The following is a 13,438-nucleotide window of genomic DNA, read 5'->3' on the forward strand; positions in this document are numbered from 1 at the left end:
GGAGGATTGCTTGAGGCTGGGAGATTGAGACCAACCTGGGCAACAAAGTGAGACCCTGTTTCTACAAAAAAAACCCCACATGGTTCATTCCCTCCAGGTCTTTGCTATGCCATCCTAGTGAATTCTTGCCGGATCACAATATTCTAAGTTGCAGTCGCCCCTCTGAACTGTCTTACACTTCGCCTGTTTTTTCTCTTTATTCCTTAATCTGACAAAGTTTGCTCTTTTCCCTTTGGAATGGTACTCCAGGGAAACAAGGATATTTGTTTCCTGCTGTGTCTCTGGCACCTGGAAAAGTGTATGGACATATACTGGGTACTCAAATATATGCAAGATTAATTGGGAAAAAAGTCTTGAGACTTTATTAAATTTGAAGTTTGGCCAGGCATTGTGGCTTACGCCTGTAATCCCAGCACTTTGGGAGGCCGAGGCAGGTGGATCACTTGAGGTCAGGAGTTCAAAAACCAGCCTGGCCAACATGGTGAAACCCCATCTCTACTAAACATACAAAAAATTAGCAGGGTGTGGTGGCATGTGCCTGTAATCCCAGCTACTTGAGAGGCTGAGGCATGAGAATCTCTTGAACCTGGGGAGGTGGAGGTTGCAGTGAGCCAAGATCTGTCCATAAAACCAGTGGGTTCTTTCTCTAAAGTCTTGAAATCCATCCATTCTCCATTTCTACCACCTTCACAGATGACCGTTCTCACCATGGAACAAGGCTTGTAAAAGCTGCAGAAAAAAAAAAAAAAACCTCAAATACCTCGTGAATGAATGGCCATCATTGTGGGGTGCTACTGTCTCCACATTATAGATTTGGAAACTGAGGCTTAGAAATATTCACTATTGGCTAGACGCGGTGGCTTACGCCTGTAATTCCAGCACTTTGGGAGGCTGAGGCGGGTGGATCACCTGAGGTAAGGAGTTAAAGACCAGCCTGGACAACGTGGTGACACCCCGGTCTCTACTAAAAATACAAAAAATTAGCCGGGCGTGGTGGTGGACACCTGTAATCCCAGCTACTCGGGAGGCTGAGGCAGGAGAATTGCTTGAACCCAGGCGGTGGAGGTTGCAGTGAGCCGAGATCAGGCCATTGCACTCCAGCCTGGGTGACAGTGCAAGATTCCGTCTCAAATAAATAAATAAATAAATAAATAAATAAATAAATAAATAAGAAATATTCACTATCCCATGGACATACAGATGGAAAGAAGCAAAGCCAGCATTAGAATCCAGTCAACTGACCCTGCCAGAGGCTGGAGTCTACTCACTGCACTCTAGTGTCCCCCCTCTGTCTTCCTCCTCTGTTCTGGCATTTATCCTGTGGCCTTAATATTCAGTTTTGGCCTTCACTGATTTCTTTAGGTGAAGACTGGGATTTAAAAAGCAAGAATCGTATAGGAGCATAGTTTTATCACAATTCCAATGTAGTGCTCTGTGGCAGACTGTTTCCAGAAGACTTTTTTTTTTTTTGGAGACAGAGCCTGGCTCTGTAACCGAGAGCTAGAGTGCAGTAGAGTGATCTTGGCTCACTGCAACCTCCGCTTCCCAGATTCAAGCAATTCTTGTGCCTCAGCCTCCCAAGAAGCTGGGATTACAGGCATCCACCACCACACCCAGCTAATTTTTGTATTTTTAGTAGAGATGCGGTTTCACCACGTTGGCCAGGCTGGTCTTTAACTCCTGGCCTCTGGGGATCTGCCCACCTTGGCCTCCCAAAGTGCTGGGATTACAGGCGTGAGCCACTGTGCCCAGCCACAGAAGGCTCTTTACTTACATCAGCCGAGTGCCCCCAGCGCTGCAGGCCCACCATGGAGATGGGCCTAGGCTTCTACCCGTAAACTGTACTTTTTCCCCCTGTGTGGTTGGTGGCAGTGGAGAAGAGCTTGGCACACAAGTCCAAATGCTAGGTCTAGGGTGGGTGGTGGATGGCTGCCTTCACATCTGACTTTAATCAGCCTCCAAGACAGATTCCCAAACCCTTCCTTCATCTTCATCCTACTGCATGCATGCCAATTCAATTTTAAACAATTATAACTGCACAAGTAATAAATATATTCTCAATATAAACAAAAACTAAACAACACTTAAACAAAAACTTGAATATATTCTCAATGTAAACAAAAACTTTAACATTACAAACAAGGCAAAAGTCCCCCAGCACACACTGACCCTTCTTTTGAGTAAGGTTACCAGGGTAAGGTATACCCCTTCAAGCACGTTTCACATGACTCTCAAATTGTGTTTCCTGGACAAGCAGCACAGCATCACCTGGGAACTTGTTAGAAATGCAAGTTATTGGGCGCCATCCCAAATCTAACGTGCCAGAAATGCTGGGAGTGGTGCCCAGCACTCTTTTGACAAGACCTTCCGTGATGCTGATCCTTCCTTAAGTTTGAGAACCAATGGCCTAGCTCCCTGTTGCTGTGAAGCTAACCGTGCACCTGGGCTCTAGTCCTCTATGCCTGGGCTCATTTATTTTTCTAGCTTCACGTCCCCCAAGCAACCGACCTTCTCTCCCACCAAAGTGGACACATTCCCAGCCCTGGCTCAGGCCCTTTTCGCCATCTTCTCTTTCAAGTTCTGTCCCTAAATGCTCTGGCCTTCAAGGCACACAGGAAAAGCTGCTCTAATAGAGCTGGCTGGCAGGACCGGGCACGGGAGGGAAGGAGGGCAGTGGGTGGGGGAAACCGGGCGGGGGCAGGCGAGACCTCAGGGCTCCAGGGCCTCGTCCCCGGACTCCGCCGATTCCTCCTCGATGCGGGCTGCGGCCTCGGGGTCGCCGCCCTCCTCCGCCCGGAAGCGCAGCAGATGCGGGGGGCGGGGGGTGCCTCGCACGCGGCCGAAGTTCCGGAGGCTGATGGCCGGGGAGGGCGCCCCTACGCCCAGGAAGCGGCCGAGCAACGGGGTCTGCGCGGCGGGCGCGGGCCGACCAGATCCGGGGGACGCCTCCACCTGCAGGCTCTGCTCAGGGTCGTCGCTCATGCTGCGGGCGGGAGGGCGGGCTGAGCCGGGGCACAGGGCGGGAGCGGGGACGCGGGATCGGCTCTCGGGGAAGGACCGAGGCATCGGTGCCCCAGAGGCTGAGCGAGGACCCGCGTGCCGGGTCAGGCCCAGTGCAAGCCACTCACCGCAGGTTGAAGGTGGAGCCCAGGAATGAGGGCCGCAGAGACTCGGCCGCCGTGGCCACAGTGTAGGGTGGCTGCGGCTGGTCCTCATCCCAGTACTGGTCCTTCTCAGCGGGGGGAAGGTTCTGGTACATTTCGTCCACGGATAGCAGGGACACCTGGGCCACCAGCAAGTTACAAGGATCCTCCTCTCCTCTCCTTCCCACGGCCGGGCTGAGAGCTGACCGGGAGAGGGGGCCCAGGAGCTGCCCTGGACTCCTGATCCTGATGCTTGCTCACCTGCAAGTTGCGGTCTATGAGCTGATTTGTCTCAAAGTCGTCATCATCCTCACCAAATGGGTTGATGATCTGTTCAGCCACCTATAGGTGGCAGAGACAGGGTTTTCTGGGTTCAGAGCCCCACTCTTTTTCCCCAAAGTCGGGGCAGCCCCTCTGCCCACATCTCCACAGAGCAGGCTGGCATGCCCATCTGCAGTGCCCACCTTGAGCCAGCCAGCATAGAAGAAGAACTGCAGCAGAGTGGTGAGAGGCACGTACATGTCCGGGTCTCCCAGGGCTGGGGCTGGCTCCTGGCCTGGCTTCAGAAGCTTCTGAGGTTTGGCAGCCCCTGCCTCTGGCTCCACAAACTGGCGGCCAACCAGGGAGAGGGCAAAGAAAGAGTAGACGGCTATGGTCACCACCTGGAGAATGAAGAGCCAGGCTCAGTGCAGGATGCAGCGGGCCAAGGAGAAATGCTGCCCCTGCCTCTGAGGATCTATGGGAAGTCTGACAAGTAATCAAACATGTATCCTGGTGTGGCAGTACCAGTGGGGACAGGGTCACCTTGTTGGGGGTGGTGGGGGGCTTTTAGGATGAACCCGGTGCCTCAGGGGACTGAAATGGCCAGGCAAGTACCATCGCTAATTCTTCTCATCTCACACACAGCACAGGACATACAGTAGGCACTGGGACTCGGGAGGGGAGAGGCAGTTACTTGGGTGTAGACGAGGGGGATGCTGATCCAGTCATAGTGGAATAGCATGCTGCACTTGGCTCGGTACTTGTTCAGCTCCTGGGGGAACAGCAGGAACAGGAAGTCAGCAGAGGTGAGGAAGGAACAGGGGTGCCCAGCACAAACTAGGCCTGGGCCTGGCCAGGAGGCTCTTTCTCATTCTGCCCTCAGAGGTGTATTAAGATGGGGTGCTTGAATCCCAGCTCTGCTAACTAGCTGTGTAACTTAGGCAAATTTCTTTTCTACTCTGTGCCTCAGTTTCCACATCTGTGCAAGGAGGATGATAGTACCTATGTCAAGAGTTGCTGTAAGGGATGAATGAGTTAACATGGGTACAGGGCTTCCAAAAGGCTGGGGTACACAGCTGATGCCATACAACTGTTAGGTATTAAAATTATTATTCATCTTTAAAATTAGAGGGAGGAGGGCAGATGGGTCTGGTCCTGAGCCCACTCACTTCCAAAAGTAGACAGAGAGCGATATCGTCACGTATTCGCCCGTCCCTCCGGGCCTGGGCCGCCAGGTTGGTGAACCAGACGCAGGGGACCCAGTACTTGTTGAAGTCGGATTTCAGGCTCTCAAACTTTTTCCTCTCTTCCTGGGACATGAAACCTGAGGGGGTAAAGCAGGTGGGGTGCAGTTGCACCCTCTGCCGCCAGGGGAGGCTGCTGTTCCGCCGTCTGGCTCCCCTCCCTCGCGTCCACCGGCTGTCCCAGGACTCGCGGTTCCGCGTTCCTGTCGCAGTCCAGACCCTTCCCTGGAGGCCCCTGCTCCCAGGACTCTCCCAGGCGCCACCTGCATCCGGCTGTGGGCCGGACCCCCAGAGGCTCCCGGCGGGCGGCGCACCTGCGTCCACCACGTGCTCCATGGTGGGGAAGCGCTTAAGCACGCGGGTGCTGACCGAGCGCAGCACCAGCACGGACGCCAGGTTCGCGTAGCGGATGAGGGTGCGGCGCAGCAGGCGGCCCCGCTGGTCCACGCCGTGCACGCTAGCCGAGATGACGCACATCAGCTGGTCTGGCAGCGGGATGCTTGTGTACTGGGACCACCAGCGGTTCACCACGAGAGTCACATAGAAACCTGCTTGGCCGCCGTGATAGAGGGAGTAGGAAGGGAGAGTGGAGAGCCTGGGGGTCGGAGCGCCTCACCTCCCCCAGCAAAGGGCCTGGTCCAGGCCAGTTGAATCGTGGCAGGGGGAAGGAAACATTCAGCTCCAGTGCCCTGCTGTGCGAGGCCAGGAGGAGGGAGGAGGGCAAACTTCCTTCAGCAGAGGGAAAGTGGGGATTCAAAGCCAGGAGACTGCTTCCCAGGAGGGTGGGGAAGGGGTTGTCACCTCTGTCCAGCTCCCCTGCAGTGCCCAGGGTGGGCTTGTGAGGCCAGCAGGTGTCTTGTGCCTTGCTGGAAGTGAGGGTCCGGCAAGTGATAGGGCCCTGCCCTCTGGAAGTCCTGGACCCAGCACCCAGCTCCTGTGCCTGCTGGGCCTGCTCTGGCTGACCAGGAAGGCTCTGCCACCGTGTTGAGTAATTCTTTTTTTTTTTTTTTTTTTTTTTAGCAGAGTCTCGCTACATTGCCCAGGCTGGACTGGAACTCCTGGGCTCAAGCGATCCTCTCACCTCAGCCTCTCGAGTAGCTGAGACTGCAGGTGTGTCACCACACCATCTGTTGGGTAATTCTGACCCTCGGAGCTGTCAACCCAACCCAGAGGTCAGGGAACACAGTAAGGGGGACACAGGGAAAACTAGAAGGGAGCCTTACCCAATACAAAGGACAAGGGAATGAGGTCTGCTGAGCGGTTGCAGTACCGGGCCACCTGAGCATACACGTACCTCTGCTCCTGGGTCAGCAGCAGCCTGGGGAAGGCAGGTGTAGGCTTGGGTTAGAGGGAGGTGGGTGGCCCAGTCTCCCCACTTGCGCCAGCTCTAAGACCCTGCCCTTACCGGTAGGTGATGCTAAGCACAGCGTACAAGGCCCCAAAGAGGAGGAATTCCTTGTAGAGGAGCTTGTAGATGCTTCCCCTCCAGCGGAGAAGCAGGCCAGAGAAACCTCCGAAGCGGGCCTCCGCCACTTTGAGAGTGTATGAAACCGTCATGGTGCTGGGAGCCTGGGGCAGGAGGTCACAAGAGTTGCCCCCAGGGCTGTCGTTTAGTTCTCCAGACAACCTCCCTTCCACTCTGGTCTCACACACCCCAGCCTTCACCCTGCGTCAGTGGACAAGGGGGTAGGAGCCTGCAGAGCAGAAAAGTACACCCCACCCCCTGCAGAACTGAGCAGTACATGGGCAAAGCCAGGCTAGAGTTGGACAAGGTAGAACTGAGATCTGTGTCCCTTCATGCATGAGGTTTCCTCAAGCTCCTCTTCAGCCTGCAGGGCTAGGGATAACCAGATCCTGAACTGCTGCGGACAAGAGACGCAGCTCCAGCCCAAATCCACTGCTATTCCTTGGGGCCTTGCTTTGGAAGCTGATTAACTAGAACTACCAGGGCCCAGGGCACTCTCACCCCCATCCCATACCTGCCTACCTGCTCTGGGCAGCAGCCCGTGTGGAAGATGAACTGGGCTAGACTTCAACCCCCACAGACTTAAGTACCTCTGCAGTCCATAAAGTTAGGCTGGACTGAGGCCTATCATTGATGGATTGAAGCTGTCATCCAGCTTCCCCTGGTGCTGGGAACTGGGTGTGTCTCCTTACCCCTGTAGGGTTGGGCTGGCCTTCGAGTGGCAGAAATGCCAGCTATACTGACCCCACAGCTCACACAGACGACACCATGTCCTTCAAGCCAGTATGACAGGGGTTATTGTCCCACGTTTCAGGTGGGAAGACAGATGCATGATAAACTGTTATAATAATACCAGCTGCTGATCACAGAGCACTGACTAAGTGACAGGAACCATGCCAAGGGCACTACTAGGTCATCCTCTCAAGAAATCCTCATCACAGCACCATGAGGTAGGGAATCAATCATCCACATTTCACAGATGAGGCTCCAAGAGGTAAATGACTTGCCCGCCGTCGGCCATACAGCTAGAACATGTTGGAGGCAGGATTCAAAGCCAGGGCTGATGGACTTCCAAGGCTGGAAGTGGCCTAGCAAAGGCATGAGCTCCAGGACCCATCCTGTGCACTGGCCACACTCCCAGTCTTCTTGTACAGGGGCTTGGGGGCTTGGCCAGGCTCTTCTCCATCCATGCCACGGGGCTGACAGCCACAGATCTGGAAGCTCAGGCCTAGGAGTGCAGGCTCCGTTAAGCCCTGTGTCCAACATCCTGACTCCTAGGGGTGCCCAAGATTTGAGTGGCCACTTTCACCTCTGGAGGAAGTAATACCTAAGGCGCTGATAGAAATAGAACTTCCGCTGCCAGGCAAGGTGGCTCACACCTGTAATCCTAGCACTTTGGGCAGCCTCAACGCAGGTGGATCACTTGAGGTCAGGAGTTCGAGACTAGCCTGGCCCAACATGGTGAAACCCTGTCTCTACTAAAAATACAAAAATTAGCCGGGTGTGGTGGCACGAACTTGTAATCCCAGCAGGTACATGGGAGGCTGAGGCAGGAGAATTGCTTGAACCTGGGGAGGCGCAGGTTGCAACGAGTTGAGATCGTGCCACTGCACTCTAGCCTGGGTAATCAAAAAAAAAAAAAAAAGAAAAGAAAGAAAGAAAAAGAAAAAGAAAAAGAAATAGAATCTCAATGGGAGAATCGCTTGAACCCGGGAGGGAGAGGTTGCAGTGAGCTGAGATTGTGCCACTGCACTTCAGCTTGGGTGACAGAGACTCTGTCTCAAAAAAAAAAAAAAAAAAAAAGGCCAGGCACTGTGACTCACGCCTGTAATCCCAGCACTTTGGGAGGCCGAGGCAGGCGGATCACCTGAGGTCGGGAGTTCGAGATCAGCCTGACCAACATGGAGAAACCCCATCTCTACTAAAAATACAAAATTAGCTGAGCATGGTGGCACATGCCTGTAATCCCAGCTACTCCGGAGGCTGAGACAGAAGAATCGCTTGAACCTGGGAGGTGGAGATTGCGGTGAGCCGAGATCATGCCATTGCACTCCAGCCTGGACAACAAGAGCAAAACTTTGTCTCAAAAAAGAAAAAGAAAAAGAAAAAAGAAAAGAAAAGAAATAGAACCTCAAAGTGGAAGAGAATTGGCAGCTTACTTACCCTCCCAGTGCTGAGGTAAGTGAACACTGAAAAATCCCAAGAGTGGTGGTCCTGCCTCTGTCTTGTTTTGGGAAGCTCCTCCCCCTACACTGTGAGCTGGTTCTCTTCTGCAAGTTTCCTAAAGATAGGAAGCATAGAGAGGTGATTAGGAGCACAGGCTTGGGAATTGGACAAACCTGGGTCTGAACCCCAGCTCTTTGTAACTGTGCAAGTTACCTAATCTCTCTGAACCTCAGTTTCCTCCTCTGCAAATCAGAATCAAGAACGCCTAACCTCATGGGGCAATTTTGAGTATTCACAGAAACAATGCCTATGGCCTAAAGCACTGTGGGTGGTTGGCTTGGGCTGCTGTTACTATGAAAATTTGAATCTGTTCTCTTTGGTTTCCCACGACTGGTCCAGTCTTGCCTACCAAGCCTTCCAAGCCAGACAGTCCCTGAGAAATGAGGAGGCAGAGACCTTTTCTTCATGTCCTGCTAACCTGCCCCAGACCAAACAGTGCTGGATCCTGGCTTTTAAGCTGAATACACAAGGCCCTCTGAGACTTACCCACCTCTACCCTCATCACCAGTCTCTGCCTAGCTCATATAAAATTTTTTTTTAATTTTAATTTTTGTGAGTGCATAGTAGGTGTATATGCCTAGCTCATTTGTAACTGTTCCTTCAAGATGTGGCTCAGAGCACCCTCTAGGAAGCCTTCCATGATCTTCCCCAGGTTACTCCTCAAAACCCTCTGGGTTTTCTCTCTTGCAGCAGTTAATCACAGTGGTCTATGATCTGTTTACAGGGAGATCTCCCCTCTAGCCTGTGAGACACCTGAGAACAGTTTTGAATCTGATTCATCTAGGTAAAGCTAGATTACAGTGGCTCATGCCTGTAATCCTGACACTTTGGGAGGCTGAGGTGGGAGGATCACTTAAGCCCAGGAGTTTGAGACCAGCCTGGGCGACATAGTGAGACCTGTCTCTACAAAAAATTTTTTTAAATTAGCTGGGTGTGGTGGTGTGTGCCTATAGTCCAGGTACTTGGGAGGCTGAGGTGGGAGGATCACTTGAGCCCAGGAGTTTGAGGCTGCAGTGAGCCATGATACAGCCATTGCACTCCAGCTTGGGTGACAGAGTGAGACCCTGTCTCAAAACAAAAACAAAAACAAAAAAAGAAAAAGAAAAAGCTGGGGAGGACTTGAAACCAAGCAAGCTTCTTTTTCTTTCTTTCTTCTCATCCTTCCCTCCTTCTTGCCTCCCTCCACCCCCTCTTTTGTTCTCCATTTCTCTCTTCCCTTTTAAGATGAAAGACATCTGGTCCCCCACCCCACCCCTGCTATTTTGTGAGATTTCCCAGATGAGCCAAGATCTGGAAAACTACTCATGGCCTGACTGGCGTTACATTCTCCATGGGAGATGTCAATATGAGGAAAGAACAGGACTCAGAGAGAGAGAGAGAGAGAGAGAGAGTATGTGTGTGTGTGTGTGTGTGTCTGTGTGTGTCCAGGACCTGACCTGGGGAGGGTGAGATGCCAGCTCCTGGGCCTCAGGCATCATGGCCAGGCAGTTCATTCTCATGCTCTGATCTGTGGCTTTCCTAGAGCATCTGGGCTGCTTACCACTTAAAGATGTTCTAGGACTTGGAAAGCCAGGTCCTGGGAGTGCAGGAGCTCAGGCCGTGTCTCCCTGACAGCTCTACCCCAGGAAGACCAGCTGGCTGCATTTCAATCCTGCACCGCCACCCGCACCTGTGGCCCTCACACCTCTGCTTGTTCCCAGCCCTGTGGTCTGTGAATTTCCCACAGAGCCCGGGATAAAAGTACGTGACCTGAAGCCTCTGCCAGAGGAAGAGGGCGGTCCCCAGGCCCACCCAGTCCCTACCTCCTGAATCACCTTATCTCCTTCTCAGCTGTTGACCAGTCCCTTTGTTTATGGTGCAGGAGAGGGAACCACTCAGCCCATAAATCACCTGCCCCACCTTTCCTTATCCTCCAGCTCTCCTCTCCCTCCCTATTGGTCCTGCCCACCCATTCCCCTGTCCCCTCCTCACAGCTGAGAAGTGGTTATATGGCTTGGCAGTGAAATGGATTCCGGAGCCACACTGCCCAGGTTCCCAAGTCCATGCTTCACCATGGTCACCAAAGTCACCAAGCTTTGTGACTTTGGGAAAGCCATTGAACCTTTTAAATTCCCCATGAGAGGCCGGGTGCGGTAGCTCACGCCTGTAATCCCAGCACTTTGGGAGGCCGAGGCAGGCGGATCACCTGAGGTCGGGAGTTCGAGATCAGCCTGACAAACATGGAGAAACCCCATCTCTACTAAAAATACAAAATTAGCTGAGCATGGTGGCACATGCCTGTAATCCCAGCTACTCCGGAGGCTGAGACAGAAGAATCGCTTGAACCTGGGAGGTGGAGATTGCGGTGAGCCGAGATCATGCCATTGCACTTGAGGTCAGGAGTTCGAGACCAGCCTGACCAACATGGCAAAATCCTGTCACTACTAAAAATACAAAAATTAGCCGGGCTTGGTGGCAGGAGCCAGTAATCCCAGCTACTCAGAAGGTTGAGGTGGGAGAATCGCTTGAACCTGGGAGGTGGAGGTTACAGTGAGCCCCAATCATGCCATTGCACTCCAGCCTGGGCAACAGAGCAAGACTCCATCTCAAAAAAAAAAAAAAAAAAATTCCCCATGGGAACACGGGGATGATAATGCCTATCACATGGAGTCGTTGCGCATATTAGGTGAGTTAATAGTATAAAGTGCTCACAATAGCACCAGGTGAGTGGGAAGTGCTACCGTGGCTATCAGCACATCTCTTATTTCAGGTTGGCTTTATCCCTTCCACCTCTGCACCCACCAAGGACACCTGCCATCTCCTTATTGCTGAAGCCAATAGCCCTTCCCAAGTCCTAACCTTACCTGGCATCTCTTGTTCTTGACCCTCCTCCGTTGGCCTCTGTGACCTGACACTCAAGAGATTCTGGCCCAAGCACGGTGTCCAGGAATTCGAGACCAGCCTGGACAACATGGCAAAACCCCATCTCTACAAAAAATACAAAAAACTAGCCGGGTGTGGTGGCGCATGCCTCTAGTCCCAGCTACTTGGAGGCTGAGGTTGGAGGATCGCTTGAGCCAGGAAGTCGAGGCTGTAGTGAGCTGTGATTGCACCACCTGCACTCCAGCCTGGGTGACAGAGCAAGACGCCATCTAAACAAACAAACAAACAAACAAACAAACAACAACAAAAGACAGAAGAGGAAGACAAGATAATAAGCTCACAGCCCCAGCCTGGGTGTGGGCCCACCCAGCCAGTTGAGGAAGCCACAAGACAACAGCAAGAAAGGCCAGATGGGATTTCATTTTGTGCCTGAGTAGTGGCCCCTGGCTAGGGTCCTGTGTGGCAGAGATTAGAGAGGTAACATGGCCATGGATCAGACAGCCTGAGCTCAACCTTAAATCCCAGCCTGGGAAGAGAAGGGAACCCAGTCTTAGGCTCAGCACCTACGTGCTTGGCAGGAGCTCCTCAGCTTTGCGGAGGAGGCTCTAGGGAACCAGGCCAGGAGGGCAAATCAGCTTTCTCTTGCAAGGAGCCTGTCCTGGCCCCTCCTTCCCACTAACTTTCCAGACCCACTCCCTGGCTATATTGTCAGACTTCACCTGAACTCACCAAATTCAAAACTTAGGTCAGCTTGGGAACTTGGCAAATTGGGGAAGGGGCAAGTAGACCTTCACTCCTCCACACACATTGCAAAGCCTTTGGAGTTCTGGCCCCTGGACTGTTCCAGTCACCCTTCCCCTTTCCTCCAGCTACTCTGAACTTTCAGCTTTTTCAAGGACCAACAGCTCTCACTCCATGCCTTAAGGAGCACAGGGTTCCTCTTATGGAATACTTTCTCCTCCTGTCCATTACTGTTCCTGGCTAACTCCTCCTCAGCTCTCAGGTTTCAACTTAGAAATCTCAGCCTACGTACATTCCCCAAACTGGGTGTGATCCCACCTCTGGGCTCCCATAGGCCACCTCTATACCCTGTCTGTCTTCACCACTTAGCACTAATTACAGTCCAGTGTCCTTGTCCTACCGACAGGTCACGCCAGGGTGCAGCACAGGACCTGACACATAGAGGCTGCTCAAGAAAACGTTTGTTGAAAAAATGAACAACTGGCCTGGCTCAGTGGCTCATGCCTGTAATCCCAGCACATTGGGAAGCCGAGGCAGGCGGATCCCTTGAGGTCAGTAGTTTAAGACCAGCCTGACCAACATGGTGAAACCCATCTCTACTAAAAATACAAAAATTAGCCAGGCGTGGTGGCGGGGGCCTGTAACCCCAGCTACTCAGGAGGCTGAGGCACAAGAATCTCTTGAACCCGGGAGGCGGAGGTTGCAGTGAGCTGAGATTGTGTCACTGCACTCCAGCCTGGGCAACAGTGCCAGACTCTGCCTTAAAAAAAAAAAAAAAAAAAAAAAGGCCGGGCGCGGTGGCTGACGCCTGTAATCCCAGCACTTTGGGAGGCCGAGGCGGGTGGATCATGAGGTCAGGAGATCGAGACCACAGTGAAACCCCGTCTCAACTAAAAATACAAAAAATTAGCCGGGCGCGGTGGTGGGCGCTTGTAGTCCCAGCTACTCAGGAGGCTGAGGCAGGAGAATGGCGTGAACCTGGGAGGCGGAGCTTGCAGTGAGCCGAGATGGCACCACTGCACTCCAGCCTGGGCGAAAGAGTGAGACTCCGTCTCAAAAAAAAAAAAAAATTAGCTGGGTATGGTGGTGCGTGCCTGTAATCCCAGCTACTCGGGAGGCTGAGGCAGGAGAATCCCTTGAACCTGGGAGGCGGAGGTTGCAGTGATCTGCCATCCTGTCACTGCATCACTACACTCCAGCCTGGGTGACAGAGCGAGACTCTGTCTCAAAAAAAAAAAAAAAAAAAAAAGCTGGGTGTGGTGGTATGCACCAGCTGTAGTCCCAGCTACTTGGGAGGCTGAGTTGGGGGGATTGCCTGAGCCAGGGAGGTCGAGGCTTCAGGGAGCCATGATTATGCCACTGCACTCCAGCCTGGGCCACAGAGTGAAACCTTCTGTCAAAAACAAAAAAACAAAAAAACACAGTGTGTTAGATCTTGCTAGACTTGGTGATATAATTAAGAGGCCATTATGGGCAGAACTGTGCCCCCTTCCAAA

The 13,438-nt window shown here is 52.8% G+C and overlaps 1 protein-coding gene across 7 annotated transcripts, besides 7 other annotated features; it reads right to left on the bottom strand.

Annotated features, from left to right (window-relative positions):
- Positions 1 to 339: 339 nt before the first annotated feature.
- BEST4 (bestrophin 4) lies at positions 340 to 11,328 on the bottom strand. Of its 7 annotated transcripts, XM_024446367.1 has the most exons (11): positions 11,183 to 11,328; positions 8,277 to 8,394; positions 6,054 to 6,217; positions 5,872 to 5,966; positions 4,963 to 5,196; positions 4,574 to 4,728; positions 4,099 to 4,176; positions 3,608 to 3,805; positions 3,405 to 3,485; positions 3,129 to 3,283; positions 2,085 to 2,983 (listed from the first exon to the last, which is right to left on the bottom strand). In XM_024446367.1, exons 3-11 carry the CDS (start codon positions 6,203 to 6,205, stop codon positions 2,710 to 2,712), a joined length of 1,422 nt encoding a protein of 473 aa, XP_024302135.1. In that variant the 5' UTR covers positions 6,206 to 6,217; positions 8,277 to 8,394; positions 11,183 to 11,328; the 3' UTR covers positions 2,085 to 2,709. The 7 variants fall into 7 exon arrangements, 6 of the variants coding, with proteins under 6 accessions (XP_016856512.1, XP_024302135.1, XP_047273779.1 ...); XM_017001023.2 differs by lacking the exons at positions 8,277 to 8,394; positions 11,183 to 11,328 and adding an exon at positions 340 to 729 and having other exon boundaries at positions 2,709 to 2,983; positions 6,054 to 6,670; XR_007058647.1 differs by lacking the exons at positions 8,277 to 8,394; positions 11,183 to 11,328 and adding an exon at positions 645 to 729 and having other exon boundaries at positions 2,170 to 2,983; positions 6,054 to 6,670.
- Positions 2,673 to 3,022: a silencer, noted in NCBI's record as "silent region_818". NCBI's record gives its function as "represses an Ori minimal core promoter by ATAC-STARR-seq in GM12878 lymphoblastoid cells {active_cell/tissue: GM12878}" and the evidence as "EXISTENCE:reporter gene assay evidence [ECO:0000049][PMID:35858748]".
- Positions 4,527 to 5,212: an enhancer, noted in NCBI's record as "H3K27ac-H3K4me1 hESC enhancer chr1:45251699-45252384 (GRCh37/hg19 assembly coordinates)". NCBI's record gives its function as "activates a minimal SCP1, AML or CMV promoter by ChIP-STARR-seq in primed H9 embryonic stem cells {active_cell/tissue: H9 hESC(primed)}" and the evidence as "EXISTENCE:reporter gene assay evidence [ECO:0000049][PMID:30033119]".
- Positions 4,872 to 5,001: a silencer, noted in NCBI's record as "silent region_819". NCBI's record gives its function as "represses an Ori minimal core promoter by ATAC-STARR-seq in GM12878 lymphoblastoid cells {active_cell/tissue: GM12878}" and the evidence as "EXISTENCE:reporter gene assay evidence [ECO:0000049][PMID:35858748]".
- Positions 5,122 to 5,211: an enhancer, noted in NCBI's record as "active region_946". NCBI's record gives its function as "activates an Ori minimal core promoter by ATAC-STARR-seq in GM12878 lymphoblastoid cells {active_cell/tissue: GM12878}" and the evidence as "EXISTENCE:reporter gene assay evidence [ECO:0000049][PMID:35858748]".
- Positions 5,213 to 5,898: an enhancer, noted in NCBI's record as "H3K27ac-H3K4me1 hESC enhancer chr1:45252385-45253070 (GRCh37/hg19 assembly coordinates)". NCBI's record gives its function as "activates a minimal SCP1, AML or CMV promoter by ChIP-STARR-seq in primed H9 embryonic stem cells {active_cell/tissue: H9 hESC(primed)}" and the evidence as "EXISTENCE:reporter gene assay evidence [ECO:0000049][PMID:30033119]".
- Positions 10,171 to 10,862: an enhancer, noted in NCBI's record as "H3K4me1 hESC enhancer chr1:45257343-45258034 (GRCh37/hg19 assembly coordinates)". NCBI's record gives its function as "activates a minimal SCP1, AML or CMV promoter by ChIP-STARR-seq in naive H9 embryonic stem cells {active_cell/tissue: H9 hESC(naive)}" and the evidence as "EXISTENCE:reporter gene assay evidence [ECO:0000049][PMID:30033119]".
- Positions 11,555 to 12,244: an enhancer, noted in NCBI's record as "H3K27ac-H3K4me1 hESC enhancer chr1:45258727-45259416 (GRCh37/hg19 assembly coordinates)". NCBI's record gives its function as "activates a minimal SCP1, AML or CMV promoter by ChIP-STARR-seq in primed H9 embryonic stem cells {active_cell/tissue: H9 hESC(primed)}" and the evidence as "EXISTENCE:reporter gene assay evidence [ECO:0000049][PMID:30033119]".

Source organism: Homo sapiens, chromosome 1, assembly GCF_000001405.40.
Source record: "Homo sapiens chromosome 1, GRCh38.p14 Primary Assembly".
NCBI classification, from domain to species: domain Eukaryota; kingdom Metazoa; phylum Chordata; class Mammalia; order Primates; family Hominidae; genus Homo; species Homo sapiens.

Excerpts from the sequence above, each read along its gene's own strand:
- BEST4 (XM_017001023.2), bottom strand. The coding sequence starts at position 6,205 with ATGACGGTTTCATACACTCTCAAAGTGGCGGAGGCCCGCTTCGGAGGT. Across the intron at positions 5,197-5,871 it reads TCCCTTGTCCTTTGTATTGG|GTTTCTATGTGACTCTCGTG; the intron begins GTAAGGCTCCCT and ends GCGGCCAAGCAG. Across the intron at positions 3,284-3,404 it reads TCATAGACCGCAACTTGCAG|GTGTCCCTGCTATCCGTGGA; the intron begins GTGAGCAAGCAT and ends CTGGTGGCCCAG.